General features: G+C 38.7%; 1 long non-coding RNA gene across 5 annotated transcripts in view, besides 1 other annotated feature; it reads right to left on the reverse strand.

The window, feature by feature from the left end:
* The window catches only part of LOC102724687 (uncharacterized), a 233,269-nt gene that overhangs the window by 120,493 nt on the left and 99,800 nt on the right, over window positions 1-12,976 (reverse strand). The gene's annotated exons all lie outside the window — the stretch shown is intronic.
* Window positions 7,271-7,471: a silencer, noted in NCBI's record as "peak7057 fragment used in MPRA reporter construct". NCBI's record gives its function as "represses an SCP1 promoter by STARR-seq MPRAs in K562 erythroleukemia cells {active_cell/tissue: K562}" and the evidence as "EXISTENCE:reporter gene assay evidence [ECO:0000049][PMID:32103011]".

Here is a 12,976-nt window from a genome sequence, read left to right on the forward strand (position 1 = left end):
AGCAGAAACTCCACAAGCCAGAAGAGAGTGGGGGCCAATATTCAACAATCTTAAAGAAAAGAATTTTCAACCCAGAATTTCATATCCAGCCAAACTAAGCTTCATAAGTGAAGGAGAAATAAAATCCTTTACAGACAAGCTAATGCTGAGAGATTTTGTCACCACCAGGCCTGCCTTACAAGAGCTCCTGAAGGAAGCACTAAACACGGAATGAACAATCAGTACCAGCCACTGCAAAAACATGCCAAATTGTAAAGACCGTCAAGGCTAGGAAGAAACTGCATCAACTAATGAGCAAAATAACCAGCTAACATCATAATGACAGGATCAAATTCACACATAACAATATTAACCTTAAATGTAAATGGGCTAAATGCTCCAATTAAAAGACACAGACTGGCAAATTGGATAAAGAGTCAAGACCCAACAGTGTGCTGTATTCAGGAAACCCATCTCACGTGCAGAGACACACATAGGCTCAAAATAAAGAGATGGAGGAAGATCTACCAAGCAAATGGAAAACAAAAAAAGGCAGGGGTTGCAAGCCTAGTCTCTGATAAAACAGAATTTAAACCAACAAAGATCAAAAGAGACAAAGAAGGCCATTACATAATGGTAAAGGGATCAATTCAACAAGAAGAGCTAACTATCCTAAATATATATGCACCCAATATTGGAGCACCTAGATTCATGAAGCAAGTCCTTAGAGACCTACAAAGAGACTTAGGCTCCCACACAATAATAATGGGAGACTTTAACACCCCGCTTTCAACATTAGACAGATCAATGAGACAGAAAGTTAAAAAGGATATCCAGGAATTGAACTCAGCTCTGCACCAAGCAGACCTAATAGACATCTACAGAACTCTCCACCCCAAATCAACAGAATATACATTCTTCTCAGCACCACAACACACCTATTCCAAAATTGACCACATAGTTGGAAGTAAAGCACTCCTCAGCAAATGTAAAAGAACAGAAATTATAACAAATTGTCTCTCAGACCACAGTGCAATCAAACTAGAACTCAGGATAAAGAAACTCACTCAAAACCGCTCAACTACATGGAAACTGAACAACCTGCTCCTGAATGACTACTGGGTACAAAACGAAATGAAGGCAGAAATAAAGATGTTCTTTGAAACCAATGAGAACAAAGACACAACGTACCAGAATCTCTGGGACACATTCAAAGCAGTGTGTACAGGGAAATTTATAGCACTAAATGCCCACAAGAGAAAGCAGGAAAGATCTACAATTGACACCCTAACATCACAATTAAAAGAACTAGAGAAGCAAGAGCAAACACATTCAAAAGCTAGCAGAAGGCAAGAAATAATTAAGATCAGAGCAGAACTGAAGGAAATAGAGACACAAAAAACCCTTCAAAAAATCAATGAATCCAGGAACTGGTTTTTTGAAAAGATCAACAAATTTGATAGACTGCTAGCAAGACTAATAAAGAAGAAAAGAGAGAAGAATCAAATAGATGCAATAAAAAATGATAAAGGGGATATCACCACCGATCCCACAGAAATACAAACTACCATCAGAGAATACTATAAACACTTCTATGCAAATAAACTAGAAAATCTAGAAGAAATGGATAAATTCCTCGATACATGCACCCTCCCAAGACTAAACCAGGAAGAAGTTGAATCTCTGAATAGACCAATAACAGGCTCTGAAATTGAGGCAATAATTAATAGCTTACCAACCAAAAAAGTCCGGGACCAGATGGATTCACAGCCAAATTCTACCAGAGGTATGAGGAGGAGGAGCTGGTATCATTCCTTCTGAAACTATTCCAATCAATAGAAAAAGAGGGAATCCTCCCTAACTCATTTTATGAGGCCAGCATCATCCTGAAACCAAAGCCTGGCAGAGACACAACAAAAACAGAGAATTTTAGACCAATATCCCTGATGAACATCGATGCAAAAATCCTCAATAAAATACTGGCAAACCAAATCCAGCAGCACATCAAAAAGCTTATCCACCATGATCAAGTGGGCTTCATCCCTGGGATGCAAGGCTGGTTCAACATGCGCAAATCAATAAATGTAATCCAGCATATAAACAGAAGCAATGACAAAAACCACATGATTATCTCAATAGATGCAGAAAAGGCCTTTGACAAAATTCAACAACCCTTCATGCTAAAAACTCTCAATAAATTAGATATTGATGGGACGTATCTCAAAATAATAAGAGCTATCTATGACAAACCCACAGCCAATATCATACTGAATGGGCAAAAACTGGAAGCATTCCCTTTGAAAACTGGCACAAGACAGGGATGCCCTCTCTCACCACCCCATTCAACACAGTGTTGGAAGTTCTGGCCAGGGCAATCAGGCAGGAGAAGGAAATAAAGGGTATTCAATTAGGAAAAGAGGAAGTCAAATTGTCCCTGTTTGCAGATGACATGATTTTATATCTAGAAAACCCCATTGTCTCAGCCCAAAATCCCTTTAAGCTGATAGGCAACTTCAGCAAAGTCTCAGGATACAAAATCAATGTGCAAACATCACAAGCATTCTTTACACCAATAACAGACAAACAGAGAGCCAAATCATGAGTGAACTCCCATTCACAACTGCTTCAAAGAGAATAAAATACCTAGGAATCCAACTTACAAGGGATGCGAAGGACCTCTTCAAGGAGAACTACAAACCACTGCTCAGTGAAATAAAAGAGGATACAAACAAATGGAAGAACATTCCATGCTCATGGATAGGAAGAATCAATATCGTGAAAATGGCCATACTGCCCAAGGTAATTTATAGATTCAATGCCATCCCCATCAAGCTACCAATGACTTTCTTCACAGATTTGGAAAAAACTACTTTAAAGTTCATATGGAACCAAAAAAGAGCCCGCATTGCCAAGTCAATCCTAAGCCAAAAGAACAAAGCTGGAGGCATCACGCCACCTGACTTCGAACTATACTACAAGGCTACAGTAACCAAAGCAGCATGGTACTGGTACCAAAACAGAGATGTAGACCAATGGAACAGAACACAGCCCTCAGAAATAATGCCGCATATCTACAACTATCTGATCTTTGACAAACCTGACAAAAACAATAAATGGGGAAACGATTCCCTATTTAATAAATGGTGCTGGGAAGACTGGCTAGCCATATGTAGAAAGCTGAAACTGGATCCCTTCCTTACACCTTATACAAAAATTAATTCAAGATGGATTAAAGACTTAAATGTTAGACCTAAAACCATAAAAACCCTAGAAGAAAACCTAGGCAATACCATTCAGGAGATAGGCATGGGCAAGGACTTCATGTCTAAAACACCAAAAGCAATGGCAACAAAAGCCAAAATTGACAAATGGGATCTAATTAAACTAAAGAGTTTCTGCACAGCAAAAGAAACTACCATCAGAGTGAACAGGAAACTTACAGAATAGGAGAAAATTTTTGCAATCTACTCATCTGACAAAGGGCTAATATCCAGAATCTACAAAGAACTCAAACAAATTTACAAGAAAAAAACAAACAACCCCATCAAAAAGTGGGTGAAGGATATGAACAGACACTTCTCAAAAGAAGACATTTATGCAGCCAAAAGACACATGAAAAAATGCTCATCATCACTGGCCATCAGAGAAATGCAAATCAAAACCACAATGGGATACCATCTCACACCAGTTAGAATGGCGATCATTAAAAAGTCAGGAAACAACAGGTGCTGGAGAGGATGTGGAGAAATAGGAACACTTTTACACTGTTGGCGGGACTGTAAACTAGTTCAACCATTGCGGAAGAATAGTGGCTGTCTCTGAGGGGGTCACAGGAAATGGCTGAGAAGGAGCCTGAGGGAAATTTCTAAGGTGATGGTTAATGCTCTTCTGTTGATACAGATGGGGTGTATGTGTTAATCAAAAGTCATTGCATGTTACATTGAAATTTTGTGAATGTAACAGAATATAACGTTTACCTCAAGAACGACTAAGAGATATGGAATCTACAGTAAGAATTAACTGAATAAATATTGAACTCTAATGATAGGCATACCGAATGAAGTATTTAGGGGAGAAGTGCAGTCTGCAATTTACTCTGAAGTGCATTAAAAATTACAATGAATATACAGACAGGTAAATGGTTAGGTGGTAAAACAAATTTCAAAATATTAAATATGGAATCTAGGTAGTGGGTGTATTAGTATTTGCTATAAAATTCCTTCTGTCTTTATGCATCTTTATGCAATTTTACATGATACAGTGATGGAGGAGGTTAGCTGATACTCAATAAACATTAGTTAAGTTGGATAATAAAAATGGCATGGTATCATAGACATCTAGTGGTAATTAATTAATTTTTTCCAGCTCCCCACCGAAAAAGTTATTTTCATCTATTGGAAACTTTTCTGACACTGACAAGCACCTTAAAACAATGACTTGTCTATATTGCTTTTATTTGTAATAGAATGCTTCAGGAATGTTCAGGCAATAGCCAGAAGACAGTGAGGCAGTGATTATTCTTAATTCCACCAGGATATAATGATTTTTGACTGAAATTTTTCCAAAAATGGGACATAGTAATAATTGTTGGACAAGGCCCAGGATAAGAATGAATTCTCATACTAAGAGCCAAACATTTTAGCCAGATAACTGACACTTAGGCCTAGAAATAATTTATCAACCTTTTTGAAAGTGCAGAACCATATTCTCTCAAATTACAGAATAGTATACTTAATAAACAGTCAGCTCAAACATAAAACAGTTCCTTGATTTAAATAAAGCCAATTTTATTTTTTCTTTAGGAGCAGGTGGACTTTGACTATTTTACCTCATTTGGTAACTGTACTTAACATTCTACAAGTCAGGAAATTTTATTCTCTATTAGATTTATGAATCGGGCACCTAGCAAAAGCAAAAATAAATCTTCTCTAGAGAAATATAACTTTATCTTAGACCTCAAAGAATTATTTTAAAAAATAAATATATTCATACTTATATACATACATACATATACAGATTACAATCGAAAAACACAAAACACAGAGGGAAAAAAATAATCGAAATTCAGCAGAAAATGTAGACATTAAAAAACAGATATACAAACACTTCAGATAAAGGAATTATCTGAAGAATTAAAAAAAAAACTCTGCTTGTTTTATTTAAAGAAATGGAAATCAAACTTGAAAATATTTGCAAGAAATAGGAAAATATATTAAAAGGTACCAAGCAAATGTGAAAAAGAACAGAATGAAACTTCTAGAAAATTGTAGCAATTGAACTTCAAAACAAAACAGATGGGTTTAAAATTAGAGTACAGAGAGCTAAAGAATAATTAGTAAACTGGAAGATACAGCAGAAGAAATTACCCAGAATGAGGAGAAAGACAAGGAAAATAAGAAAGACTAAAAGACATAGAAGCTATAGTGGGAAAGTCTAGCAAATATTTTATCAGAGTCCCAGAAGAATAAAACTGTCATTACTGGATGATATAATTGGTTTTGTGGAAAATCCATAATAACCTAAATTAGATTTATAATAATCAGAGAATTAATAGCAGGGTTGCTGGATATAAAATAAATAAGCATTTGCATTTCTACATTCCAACCAAAAAAATTACAAAATGTAAGCATAAAAACATCATGTACAGTAGCATCAAATGTATGAGGTCATTAAGTCTGTCCTAAATTATGCAAGACCTTTATAAAGGAAATTACAAACTTTATTGAAGAACACTAAAGAAGACCCAAATAAATGAAGGCATATACCATGGATTTGAAAACTAAATAAAGATTTCAACTACTCTCGGTTTTAATCTGAAATCCACAAGTGAAATCACAATCACAATCCCAAGAGGTTATTTTTGCAAAAATCTATAAAGAGATCTAAAATTTTTATAGAAATGCAAAGGTGCAAAGGACCCAAAATAGCCAAAATAATTTTTCAGAAAAAGAACAAAGTTGGAAATCTTATATACAATATTTATTATAAAGCTACAGTAATTAAGACCACGTGGTATCAGGGCAAGGATAGACAAATAGACCAATGGGATATAATAGAGTCCCATAACAAGCCAAGACACATATGGACATTTGGTTTATGACAAAGGTAACACTGTACAACAGTAAGGGAAACAGTCTTTTCAATAAATGGCGCTGTGTCAACTGATTACTCATATGGGGGCAAGGGGAGGGGAGAATCTTGACCTTAAACAAAAATCAATTCCTGATGAATTGTTGATCTAAATAGGAAAGGTAAAGTGTAGAAAAATATCTTCATAGTATTTTGATAGGAAAGAACTTCTTAAACAAGACACAGTAAGCATGAACATAAAGGGAATGATGAATAAATTATATTACATTAAATGACAAGTTGAAAGTCTAAACTTACCAAAAGCCACCATCAGGAAAGTGAAAAAAAAATCACAAAGAGAAGGTATCCAGAACACCTATAATTGACAAAGGACTACTATCTAAATTGCAATTTTTTTAACTTCTGAAAATCACTTAAAAAGGCAATCCATTCAAAATGTCCCAAAGACTTTGAGTGGGCAATTCAAAAGAATATTCAAATAGCCAATAAACCTATGAAAATATTCAATTTTCTTGTTACTCAATTTCATTAGTAATAAGAAAATGCAAATTAAAGCAATTATGGAATATTACTGCATATCCACCATCAAAATCTGACATTATATGGGTTTTTCGGGAATATGGTTCATTAGGAAATTTCCTACATTGTTCTCAGGCATATAAATCTCTAACTACAGTTCATTCTTTTTATTTACAATTGTTATATTCTATGAAGTTGCCACAAACACTGAATTAATCAATATTAAACCATTGCTCTTAGGGGAAACACAGGGTTAGATTTCTCAGAGGCTCTAATCACATTTTCATCAATCAATCAACATATACCCTTGTTTTATGTGATTTTCTGTTTAAAGACAACTTATTTAATATATACTGTTGATTTCTAAACCTCCCAAGTAGCTGGGATTACAGGCACCTGCTACCACACCCAGCTAATCTTTTTTGTATTTTTAGTAGAGACGGGGTTTCACCACGTAGCCTTCAATCCAATCAAGTTGATACTCAGTATTAACTATCACAGCACATAATTCCCTCAAATGCAACCTTTATCCCTCTGCCCTATCAGGACTGCAATGGCTATTAGTTAACAAAAACCCATTTTCCTCTCTCTCCAAAACCAAACACCTTTGCCTCCTCCCTCACCAGCATTCCCTATCAGGCCTTCCCAGGGGCTACCCTTGCTAGCAGCTATTCAATTTGGAAAAACAAAAAGTTGGAACAAAAAGTTTGTCCAGGATTCAACCCCCAACTTCTCAAGGCTTGCTACCTTCAGTGTCAAATTTTGCCTGTCAAACCCCGGTCTTTTCTGTGTGAAACAAACGCTTTTATCTTTGCCTGCAGGCAGGTGGGTCAAAAACATACACCCTGGTGTTTCAATCTGTAAACATTAGACCATTCAGGCTCCTTTAGTAATCCCTATTTCCTCCTTCTCCACACACACCAAGCAAACTATACACTTCATTCCCCTGTTGGCAGGACTAAACATCTCTGCTGCACTCAGCATTGGGACAGCAGGTTGCCCCTTTCTTAGAGCCCCTAATCTTCCTCCTCCTAATACTAATAATTAGCTAATGTATACTCACCTTCATATCCTGCTTTATCTCCCAAAGGCTGAACTCCCTTGTCCAGACAGCCACCCAGAAACACAGTGATACCACCCTTCTCTTCCACCAAGTCCAGTATCAGCGCCTCCAGGAAAAGAACTCTGAAGTCAGACACCCACTGCTTCAAAACCCAAACCTTGATTACAGAGCCCCTATTCAGCAGGAAGCAGCCAGACAATCAACAATTCCCCTCTTCCTTTTATACTAAAGTAGAAGGCTAGAATGTTAGTCCAAACTGTACCATTTTGTAAGCCCCCTGCCATTCCTCAGACCTTGGTCAAAGTGAAACATCCCACGGGGGTTCGGGCCGTGAGAAACACCCTGCCTAACCACCTGACCACAAGCCGGACAAAGCCCCAACTGAAGAAACATTCTTATCATACCCTACCAGGCAAAGGTCCGAGGAACATCCTATCACATCCCACCTGAAAAGGGGCCAAACCACCTGATCATAGGAACATCTTATCAATATCTTGCCGGGCAGCAAGCCATACTGCCTAGACCCCTCCCGCCCATACCGATAAATACCCCAGCCTGTAAGCAGTGGTGGGCTCTGGCATTAACCTGGTCCCCCACTTCCGCAGGTGTCTGCAATATACCTGTGTTATTGTTGAGCCACCGTGTGTGTGTGTGTGTGTGTGTGTGTGTGTGTGTGTGTTTGTGTGTGTGTGTCTTTCTTTAACCCTCGCCTTCCCTTCAAAACCTAATAGATGGGACAAGACCTACCTACAGAGACTTAAAAAGCCTTTCCTAATGTTTAAAAGATTACCACCTAAGAGCATACATTAATTCACTAGACTTTTCCTAATATTATACTTGGGTTAGAAGGGCTTTATCACATTGCTAGAAGAAAATAATTGATGAATAGAACATATCTACACCCATCCATGAAAATGGAAGTTACCAAATGAGGTTATATTGGTCAGTCTAAGAGCCTTTTGGCTTAAGCTCACACATGCGAATCACAGCAGTCATTAAACTAGCCAAAACCATAATCTCAACTCCAAAAGTTAATGCATGAAATTGCATCTGACAGAATTATCTAGAACCTTTTATCTAGAAGCATACTACTGAGAGCTCTAAGCACCCTAGATAACAAACATCAAAAGTAGAGCTGTCTGAACAACAATGTCAAAGCCCCAAAGGGTAAAACAAAATAATCCTCACAGTAACCAACTTCTCTTTAGGGTAAGTGACAGGAGTCTGACTTGGTTTTTGCTCATGATATTCAGTAGAGAGGACTTTCATCTATTCATCCAGAAGTTCACCTCTGCCCCTCTAGAGATGAGTGTCCTTGAACTAAACATGTAACTTCTCTTGTCTCTAGTTTTCTCATATATGATACTGAGAAACAATAAAATCTTAAATCCCCCAGCCCTCTTGAATGAATGAATGAATCCTCCAACCCTCTTGGCCAAGAAGACCCCAGAGGATCTTAAAACTGAGTTCCCAGCCCTGAGAAAATGAGAGATTGAACACACCTCTTACACACCCCTCTCGCTAATGGCCCTTAGGCTTTCTTCCCTAAAAGTTAAGTAGAAACCAGCCCTTTTGAAAGACTCTCTCCACTGCCTATATCAACCAACTTCCTGATGCTGCCCCTTCCTCTTGCGTTCTCCACACCACAATCCACCAGCATTCCTTCCTGATGAGAGACCACCAGCCACACTGTTTCTGGGCAGTTTACAGAGGACATGCAATGAGGGTTTTTGTGTCCTCTGCTTCACTCTTTGATGTCAGAGCACCAAAAATTCCATCTCTGGATCATACTAAGGCCGCAATTTTTTTAACCTATAACCCACGGAAAGGCATGAAGTTCCATTGCGCATGTGCATGTTTCTCCCTTCATAAATATTCCTGACTCCTTGGCTCATGCCTGTAATCCCAACACTTTCGGAGGCCGAAGGGGGCAGATCACCTGAGGTCAGGAGCTCGAGGCCAGCCTGGCCAACATGGTGAAGCCCCGTCTCTACTAAAAATACAAAAATTAGCCGGGCATAGAGGCACATGCCTGTAATCCCAGCTACTTGGGTGGCTGAGGCAGGAGAATCTCTGCAACTCAGGAGGCGGAGTTTGTGGTGAGCCAAGATGGGACCACCGCACTCCAGTCTGGGCGACACAGCAATACTCTGTCTCAAAAATAAATATAAATAAATAAATAAATATTCATGACTCCTCCTACAGCTTATTGAATATGTATATTTGGCCACCCTGTCCTGCATAAATCCCTGTCTTACTCTTCCAACCCTCAAGGTGTCTGTTTCCTGCTGGAGACTGGAGGTTAAGCTTCCTAGCCTGTCAGAATGGCTGCTCTGCGGGCTGCAAACCTTTATAAGAAATGAAGCTTTCCTTTCTAAATTTGAATTTCATCTTTCTTCAGTTGACATGATAGAAGTTTCAGGCCAGCAGATCTCTACATTCCTTTCCAGTGCTAAGATTCTCTGAAACCTAGACCCATGTGTTTTTAAAGAAGGAGACCCCTTCTCCTTGACTCTCCACCTGCAGATGCGTCTGCATTTAAGTGATACATGACCTGACAACCAAAGGAAATTTTAGGATCCAAAAGCAATCGGAATCTCAAAGAAATTATTCTAATTATATATAATATCACCTTATGTAAACTGACTTTAAATGGAGGTTGTTATCCATATATCCCTCGGCATGGAAAGCAGAAACCCAGACCTCAGGGGACCAAAAGGGAGATATGATTAAGTTGAAAGAAAACCTCATATTTGATGTATAATCACTTTTTACAAAGTTTCTGAAGGGTCTTTTTTCCAACCTGCTTCTCGATGTCCCTTCTGACACTTGGCAGAGGAACTCATTTGGCTTCCAGAAGTATAGGCTGACATTTGTAATCCATGTTTCCGATTATAATGCTAAATGTGAAGAAATAAAATCAATGACCTTTGATTTAAGTAGATCCATAAGCATATCCAGTTGCCTGGTCTGCCTACCACAACAGCTACAGATTACAAGTTTCACCTTAGCCCTTCAAAAGCATTAGTAGAGTGATTAGGTCAGAAGCCTCAACAGCTAATGGCTTACTGCATCACTTTCCTGTTAGCACTGGCCTGTGGGTTCTGTGCCACAACATTGGGTCTAGGTGAAGAGAAACTGACCCTGAAATGCAATCTCTGACCTTCACAGCCTAGCGGAACTAGCAAGCACAGAAGAAGTGATTTTTTCAGGGCCTATGTGGAGATTGATGTTAAATCTACTTTGCTGTTTTAATGAACTGTTAGAATTGAGGATCAAATGATTTCATGAATTCTTTGGACTTGTTGAGATCATATCTCCTCAAATTTGAAACTCTTCATCACACTAAGCCCAACTCCCTTCCAGAAGTTACCTATCCTAAGAAAGTCTTGATGGGATTCTTTATTGTACTAAAGAGAAAAGATATTCTGGATGGAAATTCCTTAGCTTCAATTGCAAGAATGATGCTAGCTAACAACCACTGAGTGCTTACAATGCCAGGAACATAGTGTTTTACACGCATTCTCTCATGTAAAACTTGTAACAAGTCCAAGTGGTTGATACTATTGTGAATCCTCACTTTGCAGATGAGGACACTGAAGCACAAAGAGATTAAGTTATCTGCCCAGGATCACATAGGAAGGAAGTGTTGAGTCTGGGACTGGAGCCCTGGCATCCAGACACCTTGTCACGGTGCACATCTTTTCAAAACATCTCTACACATAGTGTAACATTCTTGCTTCCAGTCCTGTATTATAGCAAACATAATTTGGGTTACCTTCTTAGCCTTTAGAAATTCCCTTTCTCCAAGAACTGCCTCCTTACCACCCACAACGGGGGTATTCCTGTGTACCTCCCATTGACTCTACCCTTCTGCTCATAGCTGAGTGGGTCATGAGTGGACACCCAACCAAACTGTGCCAATCAGAATCTCTCTCAACAATTTAAACAGACAGCCATAGCCCCAGAGCATTGAGAATTGATTCACATTAAAGGCCAAGTTCTGGAGTGAGGATAGAGTTGCTGAGGTTCCCAGAGCTGCCTTGCTTAGCCCCTTCCTGCATTCTGGTTATTCGGGTTTTCTAGAATTCCATGAGTTTTCTTCTCATTAATCTAAGTTCAAGAATCCTAACTAAAACATATTCATTTATTCATTGAACAAACATTTTGAGCATCTATTATGTGCCAGACACATAGTTGAAAATATAGTGAGTAGAGGCAAACATTAAAACAAGTAACCAAATAAATGGATATGTAGTTACCAGTTGTGAAAAGTGCTATAGCAGACAAGTATGGCTGCTATAAAAGGCTCCTGGAAGGGGAATTACTTCTGTCATAAATGAGATCCTGAATGTAAAGTACTTAGCCCAGGGCTTGGCTCCTGATAGGCTTTCAGTGTACATTCTTTGTTCAAATTATTTCTAAATAATAGTTCTGGCACAGTGCCTTCCTGGTTGAGGCCAATATCATACCAAACTACTCTAATTGGCTGCTAATTTACTCCCTGCCTTTAGTTTCTACTGCTATATTATTATTCCCAAAATATCTCTTTCATTATGCTGCCTATTTGTTTCCCATGCCAAAGAATTTGGACTGTTTTCTGTAAGCCAGCCTCAGGACTCAGATGGAAGAAGTTTACATAGGCAAGACCGGTGTTCACCTGCACCCCCACTCCAGAGGAAAATAAAAGTGCTTGTACCACCAGGGGAAGGGGGAACGGAGGCCAGGCAGGTCACTACAGCACTCATTATTTCCACTGAGCTGATTAAGGAATTCCGTAGTCCAAGCTGCCCAGATAGGTAGGGGAGGTGAGGAGGGAAGGACAGAGGACAGGTAAGTCCATTCATCTTAACACTGGAAAGACAGCTTTGATTACTCAACCAAATTTCTACAGAGATGGTCAGTTCAATGAAAATGTTCTGCCATCTCCTCCATCTTCCTCCCGGGAGCTCCAATAGGTATGTGTTGTGTTGAGACATTCTCTGTTGGGGGGTCCACCAGGTGTCCCTCTGCCATTTTTCTCTCCTCTTGCTTTCTTTCTTGTCTTTCATCTCTCACTCTAAAGTATTTTGTGACATTTAATGTGGCCAGACAAGACAACAATCAATTATACAAGGACCTAGCTGGTTTACAATGGGAATGATTGCTACAGGAAATAGGGTTTATTCCTGGAAAGGATAATTAAGCCATAATAGCTTTATTTTATGAATCATACCATCCTGTGTGAAAGTAAAGCACACCTTATTAAAAAAATCATTACTGTTCATAAAACCAAATCCAAGTCTGCCCCTAAAGAAGTAGTGAGTTTGGTGGAAAAACACTCCT

Source organism: Homo sapiens, chromosome 8 (genome assembly GCF_000001405.40).
Source record: "Homo sapiens chromosome 8, GRCh38.p14 Primary Assembly".
Classification (NCBI taxonomy): Eukaryota; Metazoa; Chordata; class Mammalia; order Primates; family Hominidae; genus Homo; species Homo sapiens.